The sequence below is a fragment of the Homo sapiens genome, chromosome 5 (assembly GCF_000001405.40).
Source record: "Homo sapiens chromosome 5, GRCh38.p14 Primary Assembly".
Classification (NCBI taxonomy): Eukaryota; Metazoa; Chordata; class Mammalia; order Primates; family Hominidae; genus Homo; species Homo sapiens.
The window spans coordinates 64,729,344-64,745,559 of record NC_000005.10 but is presented as its reverse complement, the minus strand read 5'-3'; the positions used below and the strand labels follow the sequence as shown (position 1 = coordinate 64,745,559).

Below are 16,216 nucleotides of genomic sequence, written 5' to 3'. Positions count from 1 at the left end.
TGGAGTGCAGTGGCACAATCTCAGCTCACTGCAACCTCCACCTCCCAGGTTCAAGCAATTCTTGTGCCTTAACCTCCTGAGTAGCTGGAATTACAGGCATGCACCACCATGCCGTTAATTTTTGTATTTTTAGTAGAGACAGGATTTCGCCATGTTGGCCAAGCTGGTCTTGAACTCTTGGACTCAAGTGATCCACCTGCCTCAGCCTCCCTAAGTGCTGGTATTACAGGCATGAGCCACCATGCCCAGCCTGTATCATCAGGAGTTCTGATCAAAGAGGCAAGCCAAACCAACCTAGAAAGCCCACCATTCTGCTCCAAACATGTAACAATGCAGGAGGAAAAAAGTGTTATGTCAACAGCAACCACAACAACAAAAAAACCCAACTCAAAAGAATGAAAGGGAAATCCCCAGGTGCTAGACAAGAAAATGAGCTCAAAGTCAGAGCAGGGAATCTTACTGAAAACAGTGGATCCACAGGCCTACTGGGTAGGTGTTTAAGAGCTGTGGAGTGACACTTTCAAGCCCTGGGGATGGCAGTATGGCAAGGGTGGAGCCCCTCAAGTAAAGTCAGACTCCTTAAAAAGGCTGTGAAGCAGGGATTAGAAAAAATTTCACTCACTGAAAGAAGCAAGAATGCGTATAGTGTGTTTGAGTTCCCATAAGATAATTAGAAGAAAACAAATAAGAATTGGCAACCTCAGCCTATACCTTGTAAGTATATGTAAGTATGAGGAGTGAATTTACACGGCTTCCTGTGAAGCAGGAACTATTTTTCCCATGCTAAGAAATTAATGTTAAAAATTGTGCTGATATCAAATCAAATTTAAAAAATTAAGTCCAACTACGTGTTGTGATTAATAAAACTACACATAAAACTAAAAACTACACAGAAATTTTCAAAATAAAGGGACAAGGAAAAAACACATATTTGATTGAACATTGCTGATATTCCACTATTTTACCTACAAAAATGGCAATTTCATATTACCCAACGAATAATAAACAAAAGAGCACTAGTGGAACTGTTAGCGGTGGTGGGTATCCTAGTTACCGGTGGCGAATCCGTCCAGGTCTGCAGCAACCTCTATTCTTGCCACCTCAGAAGAAAGAATTCTACTGAGGGTCATGAGACAGAAGAAGAGACTGAGGCAAGTTTCAGAGCAGGAGTAGACATTTATTAAAAAGCTTTAAAGCAGGAACGAAAGAAAGGAAAATATACTTGGAAGAGGCCCAGACAGGCACCTTGAGGTTAAGTGCCCCAATTAACATTGAACCTAGCATTTTACATGCTGGCTTACTTCCAGCGTCTTGCACCCCTTTCCCTTCATTGTTCTCTTATGCATGGTGCCCTACCTGCGCTTGGGAGGTGAGCATGCACAGTGTGTTTACTGGAGTTGTACACATGTTCACCTGAGGCTTTTTCTTCCCTTTTCTGGTGGAATGCCCCCAGAAGGTCATACTCCTTCATTTTTGCCTCTTAATGCACATGCTTGTGTCCACTTGCCCGGTTCCTGAGATCTTATTGGAAGCTGCTGATTATCAATTTCAGGTATTTTTATCTGTTCAGAAACTGCTTCTCCCTGGCACTGGCTGTGACCAATTATCATTTTAGAGAGACAGTGTGACAGCTGCTGGACCATCACTTGATGGTTGCCTGATGTTCCTTTGTGAGTGGGGGAGCCCTCTCCTGCTCCACTCATGCCTGACTAGCTACCTACTATAACAGAACCATTATAATTTCAGACTTTTGAGGCAAAAGCACTACTGGTGATAAGTGGAAACTCACGAACAATAAACTAAAAAGATAAAGTAATGATCTTCAAAGCATTTACTAATGTCTCAAAATATATAGCAAAATCTGTGTTACAAGGAGAAATTGACAAATCTACCCTAGAGAAAACCTGGTGCATGCCCACAGAGATGTCTACAGCTGCTCATTTCAACATTATTTATAATAGCAATTATTGACAAATCAATACTTGTATAATTTTAAGTACTTCTATCAGAAGTTATTAGACAAAAAAATTAAGATGGAGAAGAGTTGAACAAGCAAACAGATATAGAACCCTTTTCAACAAATAACAATATATGGTTGTGTTGTTTAACAACAGGGATACATTCTGAGAAGTGTGTCATTAGGCAATTTCATCTTTGTGTGGAAATTATAGAGTGTACTTTCACAAACTTGGATGTATAGTCTACTACACACCTAGGCTACATGGTATAGCCTATTGTTGCTAGGCTATGAACCTGTATAGCATGTTACTGTACTGAATAGTGTAGGCAGTTGTAACACAGTAGTAAGTATTTGTGTGTCTAAACATATCTAAACATTGACAAGGAACAGTATTATTATCTTATGGGACCTGTGTTGTCTATGTGGTCCATCATTGACCTAAACACCATTATGCAGTATATGACTGTGTTTTCAAAATACATAACAAATCTTTCCTAAATTTACTACATCCTAGGCCACAAAAGAAGTCTCATCAAATACCAAAGAACTAATATCATACAGATCCCATTCTCTGATAACAGTGTAGTAAATTTAGAGATTGACAATAAACACAAAGCCTGAAAACTCCATATGTTTGGAAGCTAAAAAGAGTGCTTCTGAATGATTCATTTGTTAGGAAATCACAGTGAGGAAAACTTGTTCCAATAATATGGCAGACTAGACTAAGAAACAACTAAGAAACTTGTATAAAATGTGCAATACATATTTTAGATACATTAATATACTAGAAAAAAATAAAGAACTAAGAATATTCAAAGGCCAACAACCAAAGGAAAGGAGAAGTTCCAGGAATTAAGCCTTGAGGATATTTGATGAACCCTAGGCTCTTGAACTTCTATTTTTTATGGGCTGGCAGGATGTGGGGGATAAAAATAAGGCCCAGGGCCCTGCCCAAGCCAAATTGGAACTCTATTTAGAGAGTCTCTGGTATAAACCTAGGACTCCCAAAGGACTTCACCCACAAAATAAGAGACAACTGGAAACAACCCCTAGCATAGATTTGTAGTGAATCATTAGTGGATCGTGAAATGAATTATTTGATCACCATTAGCCTTGGTTGTTTTGAACATTGAATATAGAAATCTTTCAATTAACTTTTGTTTCAGTTTTTGTGTGTTAGGGTGTATTTATCCATGAATGTGTGTATGAGTGCACTTGTTTGCATTATTTTTTACTGTTCTCGGTTGTTAAGAAAACTTGAAAGCTGCTACCCTAAAGAAAACCTAGTACATGTGCACAAAGAGACATGTACAACTGCCCATTTAAACACTTTTTATAATAGCAAACTACTGGAAGCAACCTACGTTTCTATCAATAGTACAGCAAATAAATATAATTTTCATACAGTAGAACATTATCGATTAGATAAAATGAGCAAATTACACCTGTTATGTTAACATAGATAAATCACAAAATATTGGGTGGCAGGAAAAAATTGCAGGTATAGGTATAATTGAGTTTATTTTTTTAAGAATACATATCACAATATGTTGTTTGGGAATGATAGAGACCAACTTCAGTGCAGTTGCTTCAGAGGACAAAAAAAAAAAAATGGAATGAGATTGAGAAAGTGTTCCAAAAGTTGATACAAGCTCTCCAGCTGTGTGTGTGTGTGCGCACAGGCATGCGAGTGAGCTTTTTCCTTAAATGAATTGAAAGTGAGCATGACAAAATGTTAACATTTGGATGATAGGTATTTAGGTATTGGTTATATTATTTTCTTTACTTTTATAGTGTTTGTAATATTTGACTTTCTAAAACATATACATAAGTAGATAACTGTTGTAGTTTTCTTATAGGGTAGAGTCTTTAGGGAAATGATGCAAGAATTAAATGTTTAGGTATTCTTTAGTAAAGCACATTCAGTTATATTAATGCTTGTATATTATTATGCCAACTTTAATTAGATGAAAGGTATATAATTGCATGAGTACATTTGTCAAACTGGGAAAGAAAAGGTATGGGAAAGGAATATAATATAAAATCCCAAGTATGATGGTATTTTTTATTTACTTAGTTTAGTTAAAGATATTACTGTATTTTTAGAAAGGGAAATAGAATAACTCAATACTTTGAAATCCATAAGAAGTGGCCCCCAAAAATGCTTATTGAATAAGGAGTTCTGAGGAAGAAAGGAAAAAGTTCTTTCTGAGTATTGCATTCATGGAAAAGTATAGGGAAAATAACCAAACTACTACCAACTGAATAAAAGTTAAAGCTTTCTACATTATATTATTGAAATTGTAACTTACTGGTTACCGTGAGGCAGCAAAACATACAAAAATACATAATGTATCTATAGTTTTATCACTCACATTTTTTTTGTTTGTTTCACTTAGCTGGTCACCTGACTTTTGAATGCCGCAATTTTCTCCGAGTAGACCCTAAAAGGGACATAGTTTTGGATGTCAGCAGTACAAGTAGTGAAGATAGCGATGAAGAGAATGAAGAACTGAATAAATTGCAGGCATTACAGGAAAAAAGTAAGCAATATTTTTTTCCATTCTTTAGAAATGTTTGTAAATGTTCTGTCATATTATATCATGCTTTCCATTATACTTACTAAGATCTCTTTTATAGTTTATGTAAGAGCTACTGCATAGGAAATAGGTTTTAAATATTGTAAGTTATTTGCCTAAGATTGAACAGCTAAGCAATTACAGATCCAGGAGGCAAGTCTATTTCTGACACACAGCTTATGTTTTTTGTTGTTGTTTTTCCCCCATCACATTAGGATATGTGTCAAATGGCTGAAAAAGTGTGATTTAAGATTTGGTTTCTAGTCCTATTTGGCAATTTGTTTTAGCACATGACTTTCACCAAGTGACTTAACCATCCTGAGGCTCAGCTGCCTTGTGGGATAACACAAAATGTTGGATTGTCAAATGATGCTCATGCAGATCAGTGATCTTAGCCAGTATCAAGCTTCACTAATAATTTCAAGTATACAAGTGATCGTGAGGCATAGGCAAAGCAGAGAGTTCTGGGCATGCCAATACAGCTCCCCAGGTATTTCCTTTCTACTTCATAACCCACTGTGATCAATATTAACATAAGAAGTTTCTTTATTACTTATACCAAAGAAAGTTGATTTGGTCATGAAACATACTCATTTTATGCTTGGATAGTTACATTTTCCAGGGAGCTATGCCCCATAAATCTATAGATTCCAGGTTTGTTTACCATAAGCAATCTCAGTTACATCCTACTAAAAGGATGTAAATGATAATTATATAAATAGGGGTTCTATGGCTAACAGATATCATTTATTTTTTTTCCAGGAGATCTATTGTTAGTGTGTTTCAGAGAGATTTCTCCAGGTCACTCTCTGTCTTTCCTGGACACATCCTCCTCTCTCCCTAGAGAGAGAGTGGATAGCGGACCTGTTATTTAACCCTTTCTTTCCCACGTTGTGTATAAAATAGCTCATCCTTGCAGTGGGGTTTTTAGGGATTAAACGTGATGCCATAAATTAAACTACTTTGTAAACTACAAAATGCACTATGGTAAATATCACTCTGAAATAAAATATAACTTATTTGAATATAATCTTAGACAAGGAATGAGAGAGTTACAAATTTTAAATTCATTTTAGTTTAGATTGTCGATGAACATTAAACAGTAAACTTTGTTTTTAATATCAAGCTTTCCATATTATGTCCAGTTAAGGTAAGTGAAGAAGTCAAATGTAAGGTGCTAGAACAAGCTGAAAAGGAAAAAGAGGGAGAGAATCCCAAAGAGGGCAAACAAGAGTCATATCATATATGAGTATATACAGCTTCAGGGTAAAGACAGTTGATTGAATACACACACTTTTGTTCTCTACTGAAATACCACTAAAATGCCAGAAGTAGAAAAAAATTTAAAGACGTAAACTCACAAGGGCAAAGAAACTGAGTTAGGAGGGAATAGCAGTAAAATTTTGGAAACTGAAAAGCAGAAGAGTGATAACTGATTACACTCTTGAAAAAGCTAAATTCTTCAGCAGTGTGGAAAGCTGTGAAGTAACCCGACATATATTCTAGAATCCCCTAAAGACATGATAATTAGTATCCTTGGGTACCTCTGGCTGAATATAAGGCTAAAAACAGGAGGATTGGTTTGAAGTCTCCACGAGTTAGACCCTCAGTTCCCTTCCCCTATGAAGTCAGATGACTTCCCTTCATCACCCCAGCAGACTACTGGAGGTTTATTTTCTAGAGAGGGTAAAACATAGGTTCTTTAGACTGGGACACACTAACCATAGCTGAAAGCAGGGAGGAAGTTAAAGGCTGAGAACTTTCTTCACCTATTTGGTTCCCAGACATATATCACAATTAGTCTAGGAAATACTTCACTCAAATGAGTCCCAGAAAGAAAATTTCGAAGAACTGAAGGACATTAGTTTTACAGTTGAAAAGGTGTCACAAGTACCAAACACAGAGCTAAAAATAGACCCACACAAAGGCACACCATTATAAAACTTCATATCACAGGGAACAAGGAAAATATAATCCAGGCTTCCAGGATCAGGGATTAAACAGGTCATCTGTCAAAGATCAGGAGTCAGAATAGCTTTCCACTTCTCTAAAGCAGTCCTGAAAGCTAATAGATGTGGGGAATGCCTTCACATTTTGGAAGGGAAATTATATCCAAGTCAGAATAATATTTTCAACCAAATTATTAGCCAAGCGTGAAAATAGAATAAAGTTGTTTTCAGATATCTTCATTTTAGGTTGATTTTTATATATGGCATGAGGTGAGGGTACAGTTTTATTCTTTTGTATGTGGATATACACTTGACCCAAGACCATTTGCTGAAGACATCCTTTTCCCATTGTGTGTTCTTAACACCCCTCATGGTCAGTTCATCATATATGCATGGGTTTATTCCTGGACTTCCTATTCTGTTACATTGGTCTATGTGTCTGTCTTTATGTCAGTACAATACTATTTTAATTACTATAGCTGTGTAATATATTTTGAAATCAAGGAATGTGATGCCTACAGCTTTGTTCTTCTTAAGATTGCTTTGGCTGTATGGGGTCTTTTGTGGTTCCGTATACATTTTTGGATTATGTTTTATATATCTGTCAAAAGAGCCATTGGGATTTTGGTAGGGATTCCATTGAATTCATAGATTGCTTTAGATAATGTAGGCATTTTAACAATATTCTTTCAATCCATGAGCACATATATTGTCAAATGCTCTTTCTGCATCTATTGAAATATTCATTTGATTTTTAGCCTTCCTTTCTTAATGTGATGTTTCACATTTATGGATTTGCATATATTGAGCCATCCTTGTGTCCCATGGATGAATCCCACTTGATCATAGTGTATGATCCTTTTAATGTGCTGCTAAGTTTGGTTTGCTAGAATTTTGCTGAAGATTGTTGCATATATGTTCATCAGGTGTATTGGTCTGTAATTTTATTTTCTTAAGGTACCTTTGTCTGGCTTTGGTATCAGGGTGATACCAGCCTTGTAAAATAAGTTTGGAAGTGATCTCTTCTCTCCAGTTCTTTAGAAGTGCTTTGGAAGAATTGGCTTAATTGCTCTTTAAATGTTTGGTTGACTTCACCAGCAAAGCCATCTAGTCCTGGGCTTTTCTCTGCTGGGAGGATTACTGACCCAGTGTCTTTACTTGTTACTGGTCTGTTCCTATTTTCGATTTCTTCATGATTCACTCCTGATACATTTTATGTTTCAAGGAGTGTATTCTTGTAAGTTACCCAATTTGTTGACATATAAATGTTCCTTGTATTCTCTTATATAGTTATATATTTATATAACACCCCTTTATATTTCTGTGACATCACTTATACTCTCTTTTTTCAGTTCTAATTTTGGCCCTGTCTTTTTTCTGAGTTAGTCTAGTTAAAGATATGTCAGTTTTATCTTTTTATTAAAAAGCTCTTAGTTTCTTTGGGCTTTTCTGTTGTTTTTCTAGTCTCTATTTCATTTATTGTGTTTTTTTTTTCTAGTTTCTTAAAGGTATAATGTTTGGTTGTGTTTTTTTGAGATCCTTCTTTTCTTTTTTTTTTTTTTTTGACAGTATGAACCACTTCACTTGGCCCTCTTCTTTCTTAATAAAATCATTTATCATATAAATTTCCCTTTTAGTACTGCTTTTGCAGAATCCCATAAATTGTGGTGTGTTGTAATTTCATTTATCTCAAGTTTTTTTTAATTTCTCTTTTGATTTCTTCTTTGACCCAATGGTTGGTCAGGTGTGTGTGGTTTAATTTCTACATATATGTGAATTTTCCAGTTTTTCTTTCATTACTGATTTACATTTTCATACCATTGTGGTCAGAAAAGATACTCAATATGATTCCAATCTTCTTAAATTTGTGAAGACTTATTTTGTCACCTAACATGCTCTGTTCTGGAGAATGTTCTGTGTGCTTGAGAAGAATGTATTCTGCTGGTGTTGGACAGCATATTCTGTATATTTTGTTTTTATTAGAACCAATTTCTCTATAAAACCTAGTAAGTAAACTCCTAATCCATCATTGCTAAGTAGAAGAGGAAATTATTCCCATAGCTACTGTTTTATTTCCTTAGTTCCTCATAACTTTTTGGGGGCATGTTTGCAGTAGTTATTCTGAAATTACTATAACTCCAAAAAAAAAAAAAAAAGAAGAGAGACAACTACTAAAAGGAAAGCTAAAGTGACAATTTTAATGTCAGACCAAGTAGATTTCAAAGCAAAGAATACCAGGAATGAAGAGGTTTTTTTTCCTAATGATAAAAGGGTCATTTGGTCAAGAGAATATAAAAATTCTAAGTGTTGGCCTGGCATGATGGCTCACACCTATAATCCCAGCATTTTGGGAGGCCGAGGTAGGCGGATCACCTAAGGTCAGGAGTTCAAGACCAGCCTGGTCAACATGGCAAAACCCCATCTCTACTAAAAATACAAAAAAGTAGCTGGGCATGGTGGCGCATGCCTGTAACATCAGCTACTCGGGAGGCTCAGGCAGGAGAATCACTTGAACCCGGGAGGCAGAGGTTGCAGTGAGCCGAGATCATGCCACTGCATTCCAGCCTGAGCAACAGAGTGAAACTCCATCTCAAAAAAAAAAAAAAATTCTAAGTGTTTATGCACCTACTAACAAATATCTGAAACAAATCCTGGTATAACCGTAAATAAAAATTCTTATGGATAGACAAATTTGCAATTATAGCCAGCGATCTCAACACCTTTCTCATTAACTAATGGCACAAGTAGACAGTAAATCTGTGAGGACATGGAAGACTTGAGTAACACTATCAACCAACTTGACCTATTTAACCTTTATGTAACACCTCACCCAACAACAGCAAAATACACATTTTTTTTTTAAGTGTACCTATCAAGATAGACCTGATTCTGGGCCATAGCAGAAAGCTACTTAGAAAATGCCCAAATGTTTATAATTTAATGTAATTGTAAATAGTCTATTGGGTCAACAAAAAAAGAGCAAAAGAAAATTAGAAGGTAATTTTAACTGAATGAAAATAAAAACACATTTGTGGTATGCCTCCAAAGAAGTACTTAGAGACAAACTTATAGTACTAATTACCTGTATTAGAAAAAAAGAAGAAATGTCTCAAATCTATGACTTCAACTTCCACCTTAACAAACTAGAAGAAAGAACAAATTAAACCCACAGTAAGCAGAAGAAAGAGAATAATAAAGATCAGAGGTGAATCAATGAAATGGAAAACAAAACTATAGAAAATCAATAAAACCAAAAACTGGTTATTTGAGAAGGTCCATAAACTGAAAAATCACTATCCAAACTAATGAGATTTTAAAAAGAGAGAGAAAAAGCATATATTACTGATATCAGAAATGAGAGAATCGATAACACTACAGATCATGTGGACATAAAAGGGAGAAGATAAAGTTTTAAAGAACTTTATGCCAATAAATTGGATAACTTAGATAAAATGGACAAATTACTTGAAAGATACAAACCAGCAGAAGTTTGAAGAAGAAATCTAAAATATGAAGAGTACCCCCGCATCTCTTAAGTTAAATGTTTAGTTTAAAAACTTTCAGCAAACTTCATGCCCAATGGCTTCTCTTATGAGAAAACATTTAAAGGAGAAATAATACAATTTGTATGTAAAATCTTTTTAAAAATTGAAGGGAGGAGAGTATTTCTCAACTCAATTTATAAGACCAGCATTACCCTTATAACAAAACCAGATTAAGATATTACAAGAAAAGAAAGTTAGAGACTTATTAATACAGATGTAAAAATTCTTAAGAGAATTTTAGCAAATTGAATCCAGCAGTATATAAAAAGTATAATATGACTAAGTTGGTTTTATTTCAGGAATACATTTGTTTTATATTCAGAAGTCAGTGTAATTCATGGTATTTAAGAGACTAAAAAAAAAACATTGTCACAATATTTTAAGAAAAATTATTCAGCAAGTCCATCATATACTTCTGATAAAAAATTCTGAGCCAATTAGAAATAGAAGAGAACTTCATTAACTTCATACAAAATCTATAAAAAACCAAAATGTTACATCATACTTAATGATAAAAGACTGAAGGCCTTCCATAACATAAGAAACAAGGCAAATATGTCCACTCATACCACTTCTACTCAACATTCTGCTGGAGATTCTAGCGAGTGCAATAAGGTATGAAAAATAAAGGCATCCAGATTTCAGGAAAGAGTTTAAAACTGTCTTTTTTTGCAGATGAAATGATCATCTATGTAGAAGTATCTACAGAATCTTTCAAAAAAGCTTCTAGAACTAATAACTGAGTTTAGCAAAGTTGCAAGAGTCTACAAGATCAGTTAGCAGAAATCAATTGTATTTCTGTACACTGGCAATGAACAATCAAGTTAAAATTTTACAGATATCTTTTATGGTAGCATAAAGAATGAAATACTAAGAATATAAATCTGACAAGGTATGCAAGACTGAAACATATTTTACAAAATATTGTTGAGGGACATTAAAGAAATAAGTAAAGATACGCTATATTCATTGAGTGGAAGTTTCAATTTTAAAAGAAATGTAACTTCTCCCCAAGCAGATCTATTAAAAAAAAAGGAATCACAATCAAAATTCCAGCAGGCCATTTGAGAAACCGACAAGCCAAGCAAGACCTTATCTCTAAAAATAAAAATAAAAAAAATTGACAAGCCAATTCTAAAGTACTTGTGGAAATGTAAAGAACCTAGAAAAGCCAAAACACTTTCAAAAGGATTAGTAAAATTAAAAAACTAACACAACCTCATTTCAAGATTTATTGTAAAGCCACAGGTAATCATGAAAGTGTAGTATCGATGTAAAGATAGATCAATGGAACAGAATAGACCCATACATATGTGACAATTGATTTTTTAATCGAAATTTTTATTTTGAGAATATTGTAGATTAACATGTAGCTGTAAGAAATCACATAGAGACCCTTTTGTCCCTTACCTGGTTTCCCTCAATGGTAACATCTTCGAAAACTACAGTTTCAAAGCAGGATAATGTCTTTGATACAGTCTACACAGAACATTTCCATCACCACAACGACCATTCATACTGTCTTTTGATACCTACATCCACTTTTCTCTTGCCCTCACCACGTTCCTAAGCCCTATAAACCAAAACTTTGCTCTCTATTTTTATAATATTGTCATTTCAATAATGTTTTGTAAATAGAATCTTACAGTATGTAACCCTTCTGATGAGCTTTTTTCACTAATTATAATTCTCTACAGACTGACTAATTCGTTATTTTTTATTTCTGAATAGTAGTGTATGTTATGGATATACTACTGTTTGTTTAAGTATTAAGTATTTATCCACTGGATTGTCAGTTTGGGGTTATTATTAATAAAACTGCTATAAACAGGATTTGGGTGAACGTAAGTCTTTATTTCTATGAGACATATGCCCCACAGTAAAATTGCTGGGTTGTTATGGTAGTTGTATATTTTGTTTCCTAATAAACTGTCAAACTCTACAGTGGCTATACCATTTTACGTCCCTACGAGAAGCGTGTGAGTGACTAGCATTTGGTGTTGTCACCAGCATTTTTGTGCTTAGCATTCTAACATGTGTAGTTATAGCCCATTGTTGCTTTATTTACATTTTCCTAATGGCTAATGATGTTATACATCTTTTCATTACTGTTGAATGTTGAGTTCTGAACATACATATATGTGTGTGTGTATATATATGTGGGTACATGTGTATATTTTGTATGTTCTTTATACATGTTGATATTCTTTATACCATTCTAGACACTAGTCCTTTGTCAGATACCTGTTTTGAAAATAGTTACTCCCAGTATGGCATTTGTCTTTTTTATCCTCTTACCAGGTCTTTCACAAAGCAGTAGTTTTTAATTTTGATGAAGTCCAATTGATCAGTTTTCCTTTTATAGACTGTGCTTTTGGTGTCAAATATAAGAACCTTTGCCTATGCATAGATCTGAAAAATGCTCTTTTTTTTTTCTAAAAGTTTTGTGGTTTTAATTTTACATTTAAGTCCATGATAAATTTTGAGTTGATTTTTATGTAAGCAGTGAGGCTTGATCTATTTTGCCTATGGGTGTTCAGTTGTTCCAACACCATTTCTTAAAAAGTGTCTTTCCTGCATTAAATTGCTTTGCTTTTTTTTTTTTTTCCCCAAAAAATCAGTTGGTTCTATTTGTGTGTGCTTGTTTCTGGATTCTCTGTGCTGTTTCATTGATTAATGTGTCTTTGCCTCCACTAATACCACATAGTCTTTATTCATATAGCTATAAAATAAGTCTTGAATGGGGATACTAATTCTTCCCACTTTATTCTTCATCAAAATTGTTCAAGCTATTTTAGTTCCTTTTCATTTCCGTAAAAATTTTAAACTTATGACTATATTTACAGAAAGCTTTGCTAGGATTTTGAATAGGAATTGCATTAAATGTGTATATCAGTTTGGGGAGAATGGACGTCATTACTTTGTTGAGTCTTCTGATCCATTAACATGGTATGTCTCTTTATTTAGAACTTCTTGGATTTCTTTCATCAGCACTGTGTAGTTTTCAGCATATAAGTCCTATACATCTTTTATATACTTTTTTGGAAAATTATAAATGATACTGTATCTTTAATTTTGTTCTCTGCATGTTCGTTGCTAATAAAAATAAATTGATTTTTGTATGTTTATTTTTTCTTCTTGCTGAGCTGATTCTGGATTTTTGTAGACTCCTTGGGAATATCTGTGTAAATTGTCAGGTCATTTGCAAATACGAACCTGAGCTGATAGAGTGTTTTGTTATTTCCAAGTATTTCATGTAATTGAAATAGGTGAGCTTCAAAAATCATTTATTCATTCTGCTTGAATAGTATAGAATCTCTCCCAGCATTTCATCACTTGCATTGTTTTAGTACTTCTCTCATAATGGAGAGAAGTTTTTCAGGACAAATGGCATTGACCAGTTTTCTAAAAAGCTGTTGGCATAACTGACAAAATCGTGGATACTAGAAATAGAGATAAGTAGCCTATAGCACTGATTTGTACAATTTCTGAGTCTCCAGATGTACATTGTCATTGGATGTGACTTTTTAAAAAATGCCTTATTTCCCCCATCCTGTTTTCTTCACTTTGCCTTTAATCATTTTTTCCAACTTAGTATGCCAACCATTGACACCTTAGCTGATAGCATGCAAGAAAGAGGTGGCCAGCACCACAACCAGAAAGGAAGAGAGAGAACTGAGAGCTGGAAGGCATTAAAAATAGTTCTTGGAATTTCAAGACTGCTTTCCTTCTTAATACATTTTATCTTTGGTCTGGCCATTATTTTTTTCCTTAATTACATTTTTAGTTCTCTAAACTACATACTTCTCACTGATTGTCTTTAATAACTCACATTTTTTATATGTTCAAGACATCATCAACATATTGTCTTAGCAAAATGCCCTTTTGAGGCTCCTGTCATTTGGCTTTCCTGCTTCTTCCCATTTTTATTGTCGTCCTATATCTAGTTCAGGCCATTCCTCACAATTATTTTAAGATTCCTGTCCTCTTTTTTTTTTTTTTTTTGAGACAAGGGCCCACTCTGTTGTCTAGGCTGGAGTTCAGTAATGCAATCATGGCTTCTGGAATCACTGCAGCCTCAAACTCCTGGGCCCAAGCAGTCCTCCGCCTCAGCCTCCAGTGTAGCTGAGACTACAGGCATGTGCCACCATGCCTGGCTAATTTTTTTTTTCTTTTATAAAGACATGATGTCACTATGTTGACCAGGCTGGTTTCGAACTCTGAGTCTTATGCGATCCTCCAGCCTCAAACTCTCAATTGTCTTATTTTTCATCTCAAGTCCTCTCATTGTTCTTAGAGACATTCTTAGATGACCTGTGAATGACCTGACAACACCCTAACTCATCTTCTCCACCTTATCATTGAAAATGATCTTTTCTGTCTCTTCACCTTAGCCACACATTTCCATGATTGCACCCTGGACCTTGTTCTCAGCCTCCAAAATTAATGGCATACACTGTACGCTTTTTACTCCAAGTTCTTATCTTTCCAGTTTATTTAATGTAAAGACCCTCAGGCTATTGACCCACCACTTTCATTCAGTTAGTCTTCCCCTTATCTAGCTTAGATTCCATCATAGTTATCACCATTATTCTTTTGCAAATATCTGTAACTGCCTTACTCCTTTCTTTATCTTTTACCCTTATCTAGCAAAACCCCAAATATGGATGAACCTCTTTGCCTTCTCTATGCTGATCCCCTTACAGCAGTGCAAAGGTGAAGAGGCAGACTGGTGTTTCTATAAATTCATGATCCCTAATCTCAGCTTGCATTTATTTTTGCAAGTTCACTCCACATACTTATTTTATACCTTTCCCACTTCTCCCTTCCTCCTTCGGCTAATGACTCCCTCTTTCATTGACAAAATAGAAGACACCAAATGAGAGCATCTTAGCTTCCAATTACTGAATCCACAAATTTGCATATATATATATCCATCTTTCTTTTCTTTCCTTCAGTTAAAATGGAAGGACTGTCCTTCCTTTCGAAGGCATGTCCTACCATAATTGCTATGAATTCTTTTCTTCAAGAATTTTATTCCTTCAGTTATCCCCTCTCTGCGTCATCATTTCAATCAGCATCAATTTTTTTTCGTTTTTCCCATTGTTCTTCCCTAGATCCTTTGCATCCCTGTAGCTAACATTCCATTTCTCTGCTGCTTTCTAGCTAAACTTCTCATCAAAGTTATTTATTCTTACTTTCTCTACCTTTTTATTTCCATTTGTTTTTCAGTCCACTTGTCAAGGTCTTTAAATACTTTTTGCCAAATTTATTTGGCGTTTTTATATCCACATTCTACTTGGCCTTTAGGTACTATTTGATAGGTAGCCCCTCTCTTCAACATTCCTACTTCTTGGTTCTGGTATTCTTCCAACCCCGTGGCCCTTCTTTGTCAGTCTTTTTGACAGCTCTTCTTCTTGCTCTTCTCAGCCCGTAAATGTTGGAGTTCCTCAAGATGCAGATAATCTTCCTGGGCTTTACTCCCTGTATTTTTTTCTCATCATTCTCTTACTAAATGATTTTATTTATTCCCCATAGTTTTAAATACTATCTATAAGCTGATCAGTGTGTGTGTCCAGACTAATCTCTAAACTTCAGAATCACATACCAAACTACCTACTTCAGTTACCTACTTGGATGTCAAACAGGTCTTTTAGATCTCAAATGTCTAAAATTGAAATCTTTACTTCCCACCCACAATTGTCCTTCAGGCTCCTACCCACTTCCCACCAATCCACATTTTAATCAGTGGCACTGCTAAAAACCTGGTGGTCATCCTTGATTCCTTTCGTTCCATCATCCTTCGCACACACATATCACCTCAGGACACCATCTCTGGCCTGCACTACTCCAGTTACTTTATTATTCCCCTGCCTTTTCCCCTTAGCCCTTTCCAATTCATTTACCTTGTAAGTCTGCCGATCACACAGTCCGTCTCACTTAGAATGTAAAATCCTTACTGTTGCCTTCATGGTCTTGAATAAGCAAGTTCCTGCTTACCTCTCTGGCCTCTCATTTCATGGTATTCTACATGTATTTATGATATTGTTCATCTGTTCTCATTCATGTTCATTCTTATTCATAGTTGCCCCTCCCCTTCTATCCGCAACAACCTCTTCTTAGTTTCTAGAACGCACCAAACTCTTTTTGCCTTGGAGCTTTGGCACTAATTTCCTCTTCCTG

At 35.2% G+C, this 16,216-nt stretch overlaps 1 protein-coding gene across 1 annotated transcript in view; it reads left to right on the top strand.

Moving 5' to 3' along the window:
* SREK1IP1 (SREK1 interacting protein 1) overlaps positions 1 to 16,216 on the top strand; it is a 50,544-nt gene that overhangs the window by 23,132 nt on the left and 11,196 nt on the right. Inside the window, exon 3 of the mRNA NM_173829.4 lies at positions 4,360 to 4,503. Coding sequence (NP_776190.1) covers positions 4,360 to 4,503 — 144 coding nt within the window. The remainder of the gene's footprint in view (positions 1 to 4,359; positions 4,504 to 16,216) is intronic.